The following is an 18151-nucleotide window of genomic DNA, read 5'->3' as shown; positions in this document are numbered from 1 at the left end:
TGGGAGGCTGAGGCAGGAGAATGGCGTGAACCCGGGAGGCAGAGCTTGCAGTGAGCCGAGATCGGACCACTGCACTCCAGCCTGGGCGACAGAGCAAGACTCCGTCTCAAAAAAAAAAAAAAAGAAAAGAAAAAAGAGACTACCTCTAACCACAGAATTAGGTATCTTTTAGTAATCCTAATCTAAGCAGTAGAATGAAAACAGAGACACTTCTCAGGCAAGATATATCTTACCCAGGGTGTGGAAAAGAATAAGGGAGATTATTTTAATCTAAGTGGCCTCACTTACCTTTTTCTATAATACACAGAAAAGTGTTAGTAATTTTGTAAAAGCAGATTTTTCCTCAGACACTTGAAGCTGAAGTTGTATTTGTCATGTATTGTTATCAGAGCGTTATAGCATAATTTTCATTGTTGTTTGGACTTCCAGTGTGGGATGTCAAGTTATTTTTTTTTTGCGTCTATTCATGTCTTGAGGCAAAAATTGTCACAGTTATATAATCTAAAGTTTTGTTACAAAGAAGAAAACTTTCGACTTTGAATAATTATATATCCATCACTTAACGGATTTGAGATGGTTTTCAATAAAAGGCATATACAATTAAGCACTGAAACATATAATTGGGTCCAAGGAAAGGTGGGAGAAAAAATGCTTCTACAAAGATAAGCATAGTTCTGATTCACCTTCAATTTTGACTCTAAAGTTCCTAGCAGCTAGTGTAGAAAGGGAGGAAACTTAGTTCCATCTCGGTATTAGAAGGAAATATAAGTACAGTAGTAAAGTTCATGTTTTATTATAGCAACTTAAATAAAAACCTCAGGACATAACCTAATAACAGTTTAGTGAAGGTCATTCTGCACATGGTTTCTTCCTTTATATTTCAGTTGCCACTTAACCACTAGAGCGATTATTAAACCCAGTAACCTGTTCTGGCACATCACACTCTCTACATGGCTACCAGTGTTCTTTTTAGAACAAAGATTTAATGAGTCATTACTTTCCTAAGACATTTGTAGTGATTTTTATATTAGTGAAATGTCATTCATGAGACAGAAGACACTCCAGTTATTTGATCCGAAGTTAATGTGAAGATTGTTACCAAAGTATAAAGTTAATTAAACTATTTACCGGAAAGGGTAAAGGAAGCACTAAGATATCACAGAGGTAAGAAAACTGCAAACTGGATTCAGTTCTTGGCACGTAAAAGAAATGTCACTACCAGGGTGAAGAAGAAGTGTTGCTGACCTGAACCCCCTTTCTAGCCTCTTGTTCTGTCATTCTCTCCCCACTATTACTTCAACCCTCCTTCCTGAGTATGGAATGAACTTTCAGAATGCCCTTTCTTTGCCCATGTTTGCCACCCATGGCCCTCTCCTTGCATGTCCAGTAAGCTTTTTTATTTGTCAGTGCTGAACTCCAGTGTTACCTCATCTGGGAAACCCACCTCCCTCTGCCACAGAGTCAGTCTCTCCTATTGTTTGCTATGTGGCAGGATGGGAATTTATTTCTTTGTCTCTGTGTGTGTGTTTTACAGCAGTGCTTTTCACACTACGTAGAACATTCAAAAATAAAGTGTCTTCACACTTCCAAAGCACAAATTAAATATATGCTTTCATGAGACAAGTATTAGGGATCTTATGATTTGTAGTTTTAATAATTTATATGGCTGTATGTTTGCCATAGGTATATGTAGGATGTGGGGCTGAGGGAATAAGGGATAGGGTTGTAGGAGGAGGCAAGAGAGAAGTAAGTTGGAGATTTAGCTGGAGGAACAAAGAGAAGAGGTTGAAATTATTAAGTTTTAGAAACTAAGTCCCCATGGAGCTGAAATTCAGACCTATAAAGAAAAGGTGTGTTACTTAACTTGATTTCAAGTTGATTACATAATTCTCTCCTTGAGAACATGTTTAAAGGACTAAAGATAAAGATGCCTTTTTAAAATCTGTTCAGAGAACATCTGATATGTCTCAGTCTGCAACATGTGCTTATACCAGTAATGTGAACACATATATGATAGGTATTTAACTTATATTTTTAAACCCCCAAATGTGTAATTTTGTGAAAGGCTTTTTATCTAGTGATGGATATTATTTATATTTGGATTGAAAAAAACATCAATTCCCAGTTAATTCCAAATTCAGCTTCTTATGTAATTTATACAACACAAAAATTTAAATGAGCCATGTACATCACATATGTATATTATAGGACATGTGTAACAGCCAAGTTTGATTAATGTTTATTGGTCTTGAGCTTACCTATATTTATCCTTCATTTTCAAAGTTATTACTAGATCAAAATGAAAGTGGGGGCAAAGCTACAGAACTGTAAGTTTGTTTTTGATTGCTTACTTTGATTTTGCTTTATTTTTGCTGCATACAGCTGTTGGTTTTTATTGTAAGTATCTTAAAGACTGTAGTATTCTATTGCCCTTGTTTGTATGTATTATTTTGTTATTTTTTAAAAGTCCAATGATACAGAATTGAATGAAGTAGTAAGCACAACTTTTCTTTCCACTTAGAAGGTAGCCAGTATTAACTGGCATGTGTCTTTTTAGTCATTTTTTTGAATATATATATGTTTTTAAGTTTGGATGGAATCAGTATACATGCTATTCTGTAACTTCTGAAATGTTCTTTGGGATTTCTGACTCAATACAAAATGAGTCCTAAAAAAAATTAGGAGTGTGGCTAAGAGAAATTTGAAAAGGAATTTTTTTCTATATCTGCATGTAGAACTTACAGCTTACTTCTTTTCACTTAATAGCCCAAACCCTTAATTGATTTATTTCATATAGTAAACTTAATTTTTTCTTCATTGAAAATTTTTTATTATTAGTTTTTAATTATAAAGGAACACAGTCATAGCTTTAAAAAAATTAAACTGCCAGAATAAGATAGAATATAAAAGTTTCCACTCCTCAGAATTTAGTTATTATTTACTTGTATATCCTTCCAGAAATTTCATTGCACATAAAATGTGTCTGCTGTTGCTTTCACCCCAAATGAGATGTTTTACTTTTCTTCCACTTAACTGTTTCACTTTAGCAATATACCTTTGAATACTTTTCTGTTTCAAGGTGTGTTGTTCTACCACAAATTTTTAAACAGCTAACAGAATTTTTTTAAGCAGTCCCCATTAGTAGACATTTACAGTATTGCCTAATCTTTGTGTTCACGTATCTTTACCTGTTTTATGTATGCATTATTATATTTTGAGTTTTGAAAAACTATTTTGTGAGAATTTGTTTTCTCATTATATAAGTGCCTAAAAAATATGTGTTTTGCCATTTGACCTGCAAAACTTAAAATGTTTACTATCTGGCTCTTTGCAGAACAATTTTTTCAATCCTTAATATACCACTACCCTTTGTTTTTTTGTGTGGCGCTTTTTGCTGTATGAATTCTCTTCCTTACTCAATGTCTTGTCTTTCGTCGAGCTCGTGTTTACTCACTTGAATGTAAGTAAATTCCCTGAGAGTGGAGGCTTAATCTGTCTCACTTAGCACTGTAGCTTCATCACCTGGAACCCTGTTGACACATAACAGGCACTTCATAAATATTTATTCAACAATTAACAATTTAAAGCAGAATGAAAAGTCAGTCTTTTTTTTTAAAGATCATCTTAAATACCTAAAAGTTCTCCCATTTTTAGTGTAATCTCAGGGTCAGTACATACATCCTTCAAGTATTCATTTTTTAATTTTACCGCTGTAAGATTTATAAATTAGCTCTCTAGAAACTTCATCTCTGATTGAAAGTCTAGATATCAGGTTTCTATTTAATTTATTTACCTATTACATAAGATTTCTACATATGAAATACAAACCTTGATCCTCCAAGATTTTTTTTTTTTTTTTTTTTTTTGAGATGGAGTCTCGCTTTGTCACCCAGGCTGGAGTGCAGTGGCGCGATCTTGGCTCACTGCAAGCTACGCCTCCCGGGTTCATGCCATTCTCCTGCCTCAGCCTCCCGAGTAGCTGGGATTATAGGTGCCCGCCACCACGCCCAGCTAATTTTTTTGTATTTTTTTTTAGTAGAGATGGGGTTTCACGGTGTTAGCCAGGATGGTCTCATTCTCCTGACCTCGTGATCCGCCCACCTCGGCCTCCCAAAGTGCTGGAATTACTGGCATAAGCCACTGCGCCCGACCCCAAGATTTTTTTTTTTGACAGAGCCTCACTCTGTCACCCAGGCTGGACTGCAGTAGTATGATCTCGGCTCACTGCAGCCTCTACTTCCTGGGCCCAAGTGATCCTCCCACCTCAAACTCCCGAGTAGCTGGGCCTATAGGCACACACCACCACGCCCAGATAATATTTGTAATTTTTGTGGAGGCGGGCTTCTCCATGTTCCCCAGGCTGGTTTTGATCTCCTGGGCTCAAGTGGTCTGCCCACCTCAGCCCCCTAAAGTGCTAGAATTATAAGCATGAACTACCGCCCCTGGCTTCCAAGATTCTTTTTAAATGTCTGTTTTGCCTTTAAAATTGTACTGTATTTTTGTCTGCATTTTAGATTTGTGCCTAAAATTTGAAATGATTGGATCATTTTTTCCCTTTTGATTCAACTTTATTCGAACATATTGACCATTCATCTAAGCGATTAACATTTGAGTGTCTGCTGCATGCCAAATATTGTGCTTGGCATGTATGTGGTTTTCCTACTAACAAGAAACATGTTTGTAAAGAATAGTATGTAATATATACGTAATAATTCTAAAATAGAGGTTTACACTGTCATTAATATTAACGCAGAGAAAGATTTTCCTCTGATGGCTCTCCATTGCTTTTCCAAGTTGACATTTGTTACCTTGGCAGATTCATCAGAGTTTGGATTAAGGGATACCCTTTAGATAATCCCATTTATGAATCTGTTCTAAAGGCACCCATGTGTGATACCTGAATCAATCTTATGTGATCATATAACAATTTGTCCTTCACATGGACAAATCACTTTAACAACGTATGACTTTGTAACACTATGCAGCAAGATATACAATTGTGTGCTCCTTCCCAGAAGATGTTACAGTATATTGGCAGCAAGGGAAGAGAACATGAAATGTGTACAAATTCCCACCCTGTCTTTGTGAATAAATTTCTCTGAAGAAAGTAATAAAAGGTATCAGAACATCTCCCCATTCCCTCAAGGTCAGTCAGTACCACTGGCTAAGGCTCAGCCCCCAAAGATCTAGTAAAATGATTCAATTCTGGAGCCCAGGACAGCTAGGACCTACTTTTATGAAGAGGGTAGCAACAGTACAGGTAATAACAGTATATTGTTGGTTCCTTTTTTATGGACTTAAAAAGATAGTGGAAACCCATTTGTTCAGTATATTTCTCTTGGCAAATTGAAATTTCCATTTGTTTGCAATAATCTTCTAGCACAGGGTAGAGAGGTATATTAGTCCGTTTTCATGCTGCTGATAAAGACATACCCAAGACTGGACAATTTACAAAGGAAAGAGGTTTAATGCACTCGCAGTTCCACGTGGCTGGGGAAGCCTCACAATCATGGCAGAAAGCAAGGAGGAGCAAGTCACATCTTGGATGACAGCAGGCAAAGAGAGTTTGTGCAGGGGAACTCCTCTGTTTAAAACCATCAGATCTCGTGAGACTTGTTCACTATTGTGAGAACAGCATGAGAAAGACTCACCCCCATGATTCAGTTACCTCCCACTGGCTCCCTCCCATGACATGTGGGAATTGTGGGAGTTACAATTCAAGATGAGATTTGGTTGGGGACACAGCCAAACCTTTCAAGAAGTATGTCTGATTTTGATGGATCTTGAAACAGTCTGACCTTAAGTCTTGTAGGTTTAAAAACCTGATGATGTCAGCAGCCCACTAAGTATTGGCTCATCAGAATGAAATCTGAACAAGATGCATTTGATGACTCAGATTTCTTAATACATTGAGGAAAGAGAGTTTGATGCATCCTTCTTACAGAAGGAACCAGAGTAGATGAAGTATTCTACTTTCAACTTGAGAGGACCCAGAACATTCAACATATGTTGGCTAAGACTCCTTGTCCCTGGAATTATATTCATGTATATTCAGTTGAATCTTTCAGTCCTCAGAGCAAGTCTTTTTTTTTTTTTTTTTTTGGTCCTCAGTCTCAAGAGGACCAAAAAATTTATTTTATGAAAATATTTCCTGCCATATCTGTATCTGTTCCATTTCTCCCTTTTAACCAGGGATTATACCTCAGGACATTTTGAGATAAATTTGTAATTTGTTTTGTTTTGTTTTGTTTTCCTCTAAAGGCTAACAGTGTCCATAATGCTAAGAAGGTGATGCTGGACAAACAGTATAATTACTTGAGCCCCCAAAATCTTCCATCCTGCCCCCACTGCAGTCATCACACACATACAAAAAAGCCACAGTAATATATATTCCCTAATTCTTTTTTTCTTTTTTGAGACTGGGTCTTACTCTGTTGCCCAGAGTGGAGTGCAGTGGCATGATCTCAGCTCACTGCAGCTTCAACCTCCCAGGCTCAAGTGATGCTCCCACTTCCACCTCCCGAGTAGCTGGAACTACAAGAATGTGCCACCACACCCAGCTAATTTTTAAAAATTTTTTGTAGAGATGGGGTCTTGCTATATATCCAGGCTGGTCTCGAACTCCTGGGCTCAAGTGATCTTCCAGCCTTGGCCTCCCAAAGTCCTGGGATTACAGGTGTGAGTCATACCCAGCCTGTATTCCTAATTTTTTTAAAAAGGAAACTTTTGCAACAGTAATTTATTGTCATAGGGAAAATTTTTAGCATTTGTTCATGCTATAAAGTCACTTTTCACTTAAATTTAATTATATTAAATATTAGCTTATCATGTTGAACATTGGTCCAGAGTTCTATAATGACAAAAAGAAATAAGATAGAACAAGGGGGGGTGGAATATTATTATTTACATGTGCTTATCATATAAACATTGTCTCAAATTAGAATTTTTCTACTAATAGCAGAAATCACAAGGGCAAAGACTAAGATTTCACCAGGTGAACATTTAAAATGTTCTTGTGTTACAAATAAATAAAATATGGAAACTAACATTTTCCACTTCATAGTTGGACTAAGTGTTGTTATCTACTACAATACAGCAGGAAAAAAACATAAGGGATACCAAAAAATATTTTTAAAAAGACATAATGGTTCATTAAACCATTATCAGTTACTGAGTCTTACCAGTAACCAAAGAAATGAAAAAATAATGATATTTTTTTGGAGGGAGGAAAAGAATAGGGCTTATGAAATGGGAAAGCAAAACAAAACATTAATATACAATTTTTGTAAGGATGTGACCAAATTTGTTCCCTTACACTCTAGGATTATAAAATATTATAACGTCTCTGGAGAACAGTTTGGCAGTATATTTCAAAAACCTTAAAAGTATGCGTGCCTTCTAATTCAGCAATTCTGTTTTTGAGAATTTTCACGGAGGAAGTAGATTGCCTGCAGAGGCTTACTTACTTTTGACAGGGGGTAACGGGGCATATCATAATGTCATTTATAATAATAGAAAGTGGTAAGCAATCTAAATGTCATTAGGGGTTTGGATAATTGAAATATATAAAATACATATCATGGAGTACTATGTCTTCATTAAAAATAGTTTTGTAGAAGAATATAATGGCATTAAAATGTTTTATAAGATATTAAATGAAAAAATTCTGGCTTCCAAACCATATATATAGTATGAGCCCAAGTTTTGTTTTTGGGTTTTTCTATCAATGATTTGTTATCTGAAAAAAAAAAAAGGATATATTTATCAATAAATGCAACAGTGACTTCTGTTAATATTGTGAAATAGAAATGTATATTTCAGTGTTCAGAGGGATCACTGTGTTTCACGTTGCTTTTTGAAGGGTTTAAAAGTGATTTTTTTAAAAAATAACAAAGCATATCTTTCTATTTATGTAGATATCCCTGATCAAGTTATAAGAGTTTTCAAAGTGGATCAGCAAAGTTGCTACATTATCATCAGTAAAGACACCACAGCTAAAGAAGTAGTTTTTCATGCTGTTCATGAATTTGGTTTGACCGGTGCATCCGACACATATTCTCTCTGTGAAGTTTCTGTTACTCCTGAGGGTGTCATAAAACAGAGAAGACTTCCAGATCAGTTCTCCAAATTAGCTGATAGAATTCAACTCAATGGAAGGTGAATAAGCTTATTAGTGGATGTGCTTATTTGTAGATGTGCTTTTGAAGATTTCCTGTTAAAACAGCTATTGTAAGTAGAAACATTATCATGTTTTAGTGCTCCTAAATTCACTCCAGAAGACGCTTGATAAAATATCTTGTCACTCCTGCTAAAATAAACTCTTAGAACCACTGATATAATCTAGTTCCTGTTTTTTTATAGAGGAAGCTGAATGATACAAATCTTCATATATATCTGAATGACTGTATCTACTAATTTATAAATTTGTTTTTAATATGGCCAGTATGTACTTTGGCAAAAGAAGCCATGGTTTTCACAGTTCTTTTTCTAAGTAGTTTTCCTTTAATGAATATGCAGGAAAATTTTAAAAATTTTAAAATGTGTTCTGAAAATTATTTAATAAACTAGATTATTTCTGTAGTACATTTGTTCCTTACTCTGGTTTTTTTTTTTTTTTTTGAGATGGAGTCTCCCTCTGTCGCCCAGGCTGGAGTGCAGTGGCGCGATCTCAGCTCACTGCAACCTCCACCTCCCAGGTTCAAGCGGTTCTCCTGCCTCAGCCTTCTGAGTAGCTGGGACTACAGGCACATGCCACCATGCCTGGCGAATTTTTGTATTTTTAGTAGAGACGAGGTTTCACCGTGTTGGCCAGGCTGGTCTCAAACTCCTTACCTCAAGTGATCTGCCTGCCTCAGCCTCCCAAAGTGCTGGCATTACGAGTGTGAGCTACCACACTCAACCACTCTGAGAATAATCTTTTTGGTAACCCAGTTTCATATGTAGAACAAGATCCCTAGAAAGCTTACAGTGACTGCATGCCATGGTTGCTGTGAAATGAGAATGAGTTAACTCTGTTTTGCTGGCTGTACATAGTGGTTAAGAGCATAGACCCTGGATTCAGATTGCCCACATTCAAATCCCAGCTCTGGCTATGTGACCTTGAGCAAGTCATATGTAGCTTCTCTACCTGAATTTCCTCACCCATAAAATGAGGATAGTAATAGTAGAATATACCTCATGGGAATGTTGTAAGGATTAAATGAGTTACTAAGTATACCATACCTTATAATGTTAAACATTATTATATATAGCATAATGAGTTTCAGCACTATTATTTATGGCATTGTCTTAGGCATATGAACAGTCTAAAAGCAGAAAAAAGAGTTTCTTGACAGTAAAAAATAGATGGATAGATGGATACAAACTTAGGCTTAAATCAAGTTGGATTATTAGAAAAGAACGAAGTAAAAGCAGGTGATACATTACCTCGTTTCCTTAGTAACATCCCTGCACAAGATGTTTCCTGTCTCTTACTTTTAAGTGCTGTAGAATTGTTGATTTAAGAGAAGAAAGCAAAATATAGGTCTTAATGTGTGGTAACTGATAAGTGCCACTTGCTGGAATGAGGTTTTGTATTTAACAAGGGAGAAACCATTAGTGGAAGTGTTTCCCCTCCTCTGTAGATTTCATTCCTCTTGCTTCACTTGGAAATTTATTTAAAAAGGAAGTGAGTGGAGTAACTTCTGAATAGAGATTTTTAACCGTCTTGATTCAGGAATTTATTTTGCCTTAATTAGAATTCATGCTATTCATAAACAAATATTTACATAGTACCAATCCTCTGTCAGATAAAACAGTAAGATAAAAGCTTTACGAGGGCAAGGCCAGTACCTAAAATAGTATCTGACAGATAGTTTCATAAAATAATTAAGTTCATGACATAACAACATTATTTTTACTCTTTAATAGATGCCAGTTGGTAGAATAAGAGACAGACTTCTCAAAAATCTTTTCATTTAAAATGTTAACTTTTCATTTTATCTGTAAATTAATATTTTTGGCTAAAAGTTATTAACAGTAAAATGATATTTTACAACGACAAAAAGGAAAAGTGCTCTTATTTAATCATATTTATGAATACATTTATTTAAAAAAATTTTTCCATTTAGGTATTACTTAAAAAATAACATGGAAACAGAAACCTTATGTTCAGATGAAGATGCTCAAGAACTAGTTAAGGAAAGCCAGCTATCCATGCTGCAGCTCAGTACCATTGAGGTGGCCACCCAGCTGTCAATGAGGGACTTTGATTTGTTTCGTAATATTGAACCGACTGAGTACATCGATGACCTTTTTAAGTTAAATTCCAAAACAGGAAATACTCATTTGAAGAGGTTTGAGGACATTGTAAACCAAGAGACATTCTGGGTTGCCTCAGAAATTTTAACTGAAGCAAATCAGCTCAAACGAATGAAGATTATTAAGCATTTTATTAAAATTGCACTTCATTGTCGAGAATGTAAGAACTTCAATTCCATGTTTGCAATAATAAGGTAAGTTGGTACAAATAGGTACAAATGTCTGTATGGTTTTGTCATTACATGCAGCTGATTTTCTACTTAGGTATTCAATGCCTATGAAAAGAAATGTTCAATTAATATGCCTTTATTGAAGTGTTGTTAGATTTAATGTATTTTCCATTTTGGTGGTATTGGCTTTTTCTATTTTTGTTTCTTCCATCTTTCTTTTACTTCTTTTTTGTAAATGAAAGTGGGTGATTGCCTTCTAATTTTTCTTTCTCTCCCTTCATCTCCAACCCCCCGCCTTGAGTGATTATATCATCTTTGGATATGTGCCCAGTGGCTGGTCTTTATCATTAGACTTCTGTACTGTGCTTTTTTAAGTACCTGCCTCACTATGATTTGACTCTGAAAAATCACAGTATGGTATCAGTACTTTGACCTAAAGTTGCTATTTTGAAACAACAACATTGATAATAATGGCAACCATTTGGTAAGCTCTTCCTGTTTGCCAGGCACTACATGAGGTTCACTGGATGTGGTGTTCCTCAAGCAAGTTAGGCTGTTAGAATAATAAAAATGTTTTGACATTCATAAGCCCAGGAAGTGTAGATAATTACGTGAGCTCTCCCACTCCCTTCTTCCCACTTATTATGAAAAGTTAATTGTAGGTAATTTATTTTCTGATCTTTATTTAGCACACTGTAGATCAACAAAGGGATTCTTCTTAAAACAAGTTTAATTTTAAAAGGGAGAGGAGTTGTAGTTAGCTCCATTTTTAAGGCCATGATGTGCTTATAAATCGCAGCATAATTCCACTTGAACTAATCCTACCTATACACATCCCCCACAGAATTCATAATGATTTGTTTCTACTCCTCATGTAGATTAAGATTAAAAAGTAGAATCTTTATAGGGACTCTTTATTCATGACCCTGTCATGGTAATAGGATGTGCCTTTATTAAATTAACCAGTGTCTACAACTGAACTGAACACTCTAGGAGTATTGAATAGAGATTAACAGAGTGGTCTTTAGAATCAGCTGCACCTGTATTTGAATCCTGCCTCTCCCATATAGTAGCAATGTGTCAGTGGAAAACTGAAGATAGGTTTTCTTATCTGTAAAATACCACCTATATCACAGTTTTTAAACAGCTAAGTCTAAAACAGAGGAATAAAGATGCCACTGATAAACACTTGGAAGGCTAGAAATGGAACCTGTTTGTAAAGGAAGCATCAAGTAAAGAATTTGAAAATTACGGGCTCAGTTTTAGAGTCCACTATGAAGAAAATTGATTGACACTGAGAGAATAGATCTCTGTATAAAAAAGAGGGTAGAAAGAAAGTGGTAGAGGTCTAAAAACCATACCTTAGTATGATGACTCAGTGTGAGGGTAAGGAAAAAGAGTCTAGCCAAAGAGATGGAGGATCAGTACAAGAAACAGAGTAGCACAGTTATGATAGTGTCATCAAAGCCAATGAAAGAGAGTGATTTGAGAGAAGATGTGATGGACAGTAGCCCAAAGAAGGGAGTGGATAGGAAAGGGCTGAGATTTGGTTAAGAGGCTTTGTTTGGTTAAAAGATTTGTTTTGTTACAAAGAATATTTGTTCTGCACATTTTCATAGCTCATGTAAAGATCATTGCTTTGTTTCTTTTGTATTCTTTTTAAGATAATTGTTTTGTATTCTTGTACTTCATGTTCAGGTAGATCAAAGAATATACTCTTTTCAGCAGAGATGGCAAAGGTGAATCATTCTGTTCTGGCTATAATTAACAACTTTTTATAATTATAAAATAATTTTAACTTTTTGAATAGACATGACATGTACATGGAAAAAATTTTAAAGATAAAGAGTACACAGCGAAAGTAACTTTGTCTCACCCAGTCCCTAATCCACCCAAATTCCTCTCCCCAGAGATACTGTTACCTTTTTTCATTCAAGAAATACTCTATCCATATAGCAAGCATATAAATATATATTTAAAACCACCTTGGCTAATTTTTTTAATTTATCTTGGAGATTATTTAAAATCAGTTCTTATAAAGTTGTCTCATATTTTTTAAACAACTATGAAGTACTCCTTTGTATTGTGGAGTGCACATTATGGATATTTCTAAATTTCCAGACTTTGGCTATTTAAAACAGTGTGTGGTGTTTACTTTTGCCATGTAGAAATTTTTTTATTTTTATGTAGATGTATTATTTTTTTTCCTGCTGGAGTTTCTGCATTTTGTGGTTAGTTAAGAACAAAGAATTGCCTAGGTTTGAATCCAGTGTTGGCACTTGTTGTCTATGTGAACTAAGTTTCCTCATTTGTCAAATGGGAAATCCTGGTAGTTCCTACCTAATAAGGTTAAGAGTATTCAATGAGCTAATACAATGAGAGCTCTTAGAACACCCTAGACAACATTTTTTATTAATCTTGAATTCATTTTTATGTAAACAGTGAGATAAAGAAATATATCTTTCTTTGTTCCAAATGACTTCTTCACCCAACATCATTAATCAATCTTTTTTTCTAAAATATGCAATGCCATCTATTATGTACTGAAATCTAACACATATTTGGGTTTATGTCTGCACTCATTGCTTCATTGATTTGTCTATTCATTTACTGTTTTAGTTGCTGAAGTGGTAAAATAGGTTTTAAGGTCTGATAGGGCTAGTCAAACCCCTTATGACTCTCTTCATACTTTTCTTTGGCTATTTCTGGCATGTTTATTTGTTTCATATCAACTTTAGAATCAATTTATGTAGTTCTTTTAAAAAGTTTTGTTGATGTCTGGGCGCGGTGGCTCACGCCTGTGATCCTGGCACTTTGGAGGCCAATGCAGGTGGATCACAAGTTCAGGAGTTCTAGACCAGCCTGACCAACATGGTGAAACCCCATCTCTACTAAAAATACAAAAAAATTAGCCAGGTATGGTGGCACATGCTTGTAATCCCAGCTACTCAGGAGGCTGAGGCAGGAGAATCACTTGAACCCAGGAGGTGGAGGTTGCAGTAAGCCAAGATCATGCCACTGCACTCCAGCCTGGGTGACAGAGCAAGACTCTGTCTCAAAAAAGAAAAGAAAAAGTTCTGTTGATGTTTTCATTGAGATTACATTAAATACCTAGATTACTTTAGTGGACATTTGATAGCTTTGTAACAATGGCTCTTGCCATCCAAGAACACTTATTCCACTTGTTTCAGTTTTCTTTTATTTCCTCTGTGGAGTTGTTTTATTAGTCTGTTTTCACACTGCTGTATAGAAATACCTGAGACTGTGTAATTTATAAAGAAAAGAGGTTTAATTAACTCACAGTTCCCCATGTCTGGGGAGGCCTTAGGAAACTTACTATCATAGTGGAAGGCGAAGGGCAAACATGGCGTGTCTTACATGGCAGCAGAGAGAGAGAGAGTGAGGGGGGAAGTGCCACACTTTTAAACCATCAGATCTCTTGAGAACTCACTGATTATCATGAGAACAGCGTAGGGGAAATCTGCCTCCATGACCCAGTCACCTCCCACTGCGTCCTTCCCCTGACATGTGGGGATTACAATTCCACGTGAAATTTGGGTGGGGACACAGAACCAAACCATATCAGTTTTTATAGTGGTGTTCATGTAAATCTTGAACATTTGTTTGAATGTTTAATATCTTTTATTGCTGTTGTGAATGGGATCCTTATATTATGAATGGGATCCTTAAGTTTTCTAATGGTTTCTGCCTAAGTATTCTAATGCATATGAATATCAGTGTTGTACCTAGTACCTTACTGCATTCTTCATGCTTCTAATAATTTTCAGTTAATATTTTGGGAGTTTTGAGTTAAACAATCTAATTTTCTTCAACTGATGATAACTTTACATCTCTCATTCCATTTATTAATAACTATTTCTCTATTTTGTCTATTTTCATCTGCTGGTGCTTCATATTAAATGATACCATTGTCCCTCAGTATCTGTGGGGCATTCGTTCCATGGCTCCTCACAGATAGCAAAATCCTCACATACTCAAGTCCTGCAGTTGACCCTGAGGAACTTGTGGATACATAAAGTCAGCATTAGCAGGTTTCACATCCAAGGAAACTGTATTTTTGATCCACATTTGGTTGTGAATGTGGAACACTCAGATACGGAGGGGTGACTGAATTTATTGAAAAAAATCTGCATATAAGTGGATCCATGCAGCAGTATTCCACGGTAGCAGGAGTTAGCCTTGTATGTGAATTGTTTTATCCTTTACTTTTTCTTAGTAAATGGAGATTGTGGCAGCATTAGGGCTGCTTACAACTCAGAGTGTCTCCCTTCTCTCCTGTCTCAAACAGATTTGTACCAAAGTGTATCACTGTGTGCTATGCCAAATAAAGGATTGTTGGCTTGGCATGGTGGCTCATGCCTGTAATCTCAGCACTTTGGGAAGCCAAGGCAGGCAGATTACTTGAGCTCAGGAATTCAAGACCAGCCTGGCCAACATGGTGAAACCCTGTCTGTACTAAAAATATAAAAATTAGCCAGGCATTGTGGTACACACCTGTAATTCCTGTAATCCCAGCTACTCAGGAGGTTGATGCACAAGAATCACTTGACCCTGGGAGGCAGAGGTTGCAGTGAGCTGAGATCGCACCACCGCACTCCAGCCTGGGCAACAGAGCAAGACTGTGTCTCAAATAAATAAATAAAATAAAGGATTGTTGTTTTTAACCTCAGGGCAGAAAGAGTTCTGCTTTGGAGAACTGTTTGTCAGCTTTCATTGGTATCTTCAGCTGCAGACATTATTTGTCATCAGCTTTGCTTACTCCTGTTTGACCTCGACTATTTTTTGACAACCTTTCTAGTGTGTTGAGGAGTTTGTTATCTTAGTTTTGGTGGATATGAAATTTGTATTGGTTACTCATCCTTCTTACAGTGGTTTGGGGAAATTTCTGAGAAGCAAAAGGGAACAAAGATACCTAACTCCATGCCTTAAAGTCAGAAATCAGGAGAACATTTTACAGTGGTGTTGGTAAAAGTCAGATGGCTGAGAAACAGGATTTGCTGATAAGAAAATTGAGGCATTGTATATACACTATTCATTTGGCAACCTACCTATGTGATGGTACTGTAGAGGTAAAGGATTCATAAAGACTTGCAGCCTAACTGGCATGAATTATGTTTTCAAGTTAGGGAATATCTGAGCCTATTTAAAATCCTGTGGAAGGGAGACATTGAATATCTGGAGGCTTAGTGAACAGGATTAGAACCTAGGAATATGGATGTATTGGAATCAGGGATGTGAGTGAACAAAATCGCAGGAAAAAAAAGGCTTCCTAAGGTGCAGAATTAGCTCCAGTTATTATTTAACAGTTGTTCTCAGCATTACTTAAACCGCTTTAAAATAGGTAATGTCTCCATAAAGTTATTTCTAAGTAAAACAAGCAACATTGTGATGCTTGAAGTTTTTTTTAATTTAAATGTATATTTTATGGAATTATTCTGTCACTTAAATGAAACTGTAAAATAAATGCTATGTAGGTATAGAACTATAGGCAAGCATTATAGTTTGAAAGAAGTTCTTGTAAGATCAGGGAGTCTCTTATTTATTTTTTTCTCAGTTTTTCTCTTGTTTATTTCAATGTGTTAAAATATGTCCCTGCTTATTTTTACTTTTATTAGAGAAAATGGTGTATATGCTGACCTGAGTCCACCCCTTTCCCCAAGTTTCTTTTTAATGTTTCTATTCTCATCTTTGGCAGTGGCTTGAACCTGGCATCTGTAGCAAGACTCAGAGGAACTTGGGAAAAGTTACCAAGCAAATACGAGAAACATCTTCAAGATCTACAAGACATTTTTGATCCATCTAGAAACATGGCAAAGTATAGAAATATTCTTAGTAGTCAAAGTATGCAGCCTCCAATTATTCCACTCTTCCCTGTTGTCAAGAAAGATATGACATTTCTACATGAAGGTATGAAAACATTATTTATTGATGTTTTACCACATGGTTTATCTAAAGTCTACCTGAATTGATTTTTGTGTATGGTATATTTCCTATTCTATTAATTTGGTAACTATACACTATTTTACCATTTTTCTAGTGTTGAATTAGATGTCATACCATACATATTTGTTAATTAGTTTAATATTTATTAGTACTTTTTTCTGTGTCAGATAATGCAAGGAACTTAGACCACTTAAATTCCATTTGCTCAGCTGGACGCGGTGGCTCACGCCTGTAATCCCAGAACTTTGGAAGGCCTAGGCAGGTGGATCATGAGGTTGGGAGATCAAGACCATCCTGGCTAACATGGTGAAACCCATCTCTACTAAAAATAACAAAAGATTAGCCGGGGGTGGTGGCGGCCGCCTGTAGTTCCAGCTACTTGGGAGGCTGAGGCAGGAGAATGGCAGGAGCCCGGGAGGCGGAGCTTACAGTGAGCCTAGATGGCGCCACTGCACTCCAGCCTGGGCGACAGAGCGAGACTCTGTCTCAAAAATAAAAAACAATTCCATTTGCTCATCTCCTGATTTTCATGCAGTTGTTGCTGTGCTTTTAACACAAGATATTGTTGCTTAATAAAGTCAGTATTTAACCTTGCCTGTATATTTACTTTTGTTGTTGTTACTACTATTTTTTATTCATTCTTGCATTTCAGAGCTTCCGTATTGCTGGGCATAGTTTTTCGGCCTTATAGAACACTGTTTAGTATTCTCCTTAAGTGCAGGTTTGCTGGTGATGAATATCTCTTAATTTTTGTTTATCTGAAAATGCCTTTACTTCATTTTCAGAGGATTTTTGGTTGGCAGCTATCTTCTTCAAACACTTTGAAATGACATTCCATTGTTCTGTGCCTTCCACTGTTAATGTTGAGAAGTTAGCTTACAGTTTTATTTGCTGTTGCTTTAACTGTAATCTGCCTTTGTTTGATACTGGCTGTTAAGATTTTGTTTTTTCTTAATTTCTTTCTAGTTTTGCTTAATATGACTAAGTGTGGGGTTTTGTTTTTGTTTCTTATTCCGATTGGTGTCTGTAGGACACCTTGAAACCTATGGTTTTGTACTTTTCATCAGTTTGGGAAAATTCTCAGTAATTTTATCTTTTATTCTCTCTCCAACTATGTCTCATTTCTGGTAAGTTCATTACTGATGTCCTAATTCCAGTTATTATTTTTGTTTGTTTTACAGCTTCCTTTTTCTTTTTTTAGTTTAATGTTCTTTTCCAGAGTTCTCATTGTTTTTTCTTGTCTTTGAACATATTCAACATCGTTATTTCAAAGTCTGCCTCTAATAATTCCATAATCTGGATCCCCTTTGGGTCTTAATCTGTTTTCTCCTTTTTACTCTTTCATTTCTGTCATGTTATGTTTTCTCCTGATGTGCCTGGTTATTATTGAAAAGTGAGATTACAGAAATAATCTCGCTTTTTGAATGATGTTCCATATCTCCAGAGAGGATTAAAGTTTGCTTCTGGCAGGCAGTTAGGGGTGCTAGAATTCCAAAATCACTTTAATCCGTTTTGATGTAATTTAACAAAAGACTTTTATCCCAGTCTACATTCAGTTTATCCTTGGTCTCAGGATATAGCTCTTCAGAGTTTCAACCAAGCATTGGAGGTTTACAAGGACTTAAGTTGCTTTTCCTTTTACCTCAAAAGACAGGGTGTCTGTACTCGGTTTTTCAGCTCATTATCCCTTTCTGAAATCAGATACACCTAGGGGCAAG

General features: G+C 36.0%; 1 protein-coding gene across 6 annotated transcripts in view; it reads left to right on the top strand.

The window, feature by feature from the left end:
* RAPGEF6 (Rap guanine nucleotide exchange factor 6) overlaps positions 1-18151 on the top strand; it is a 211309-nt gene that overhangs the window by 163032 nt on the left and 30126 nt on the right. For 4 of the 6 annotated variants that reach the window (NM_016340.6, NM_001164388.2, NM_001164386.2 and 1 more), the window contains exons 18-20: positions 7917-8157; positions 10110-10493; positions 16186-16397. In NM_016340.6, coding sequence (NP_057424.3) covers positions 7917-8157; positions 10110-10493; positions 16186-16397 — 837 coding nt within the window. Of the gene's footprint in view, positions 1-2382; positions 2398-7916; positions 8586-10109; positions 10494-16185; positions 16398-18151 lie in introns of those variants that run through there. The other 2 variants (NM_001164387.2, NM_001164390.2) reach the window with 2 other exon arrangements.

This window comes from Homo sapiens, chromosome 5 (genome assembly GCF_000001405.40).
Source record: "Homo sapiens chromosome 5, GRCh38.p14 Primary Assembly".
In the NCBI taxonomy this organism is placed as follows: domain Eukaryota; kingdom Metazoa; phylum Chordata; class Mammalia; order Primates; family Hominidae; genus Homo; species Homo sapiens.
The sequence above is the reverse complement of the archived record's forward strand: the minus strand, read 5'-3'. Positions and strand labels throughout refer to the sequence as shown.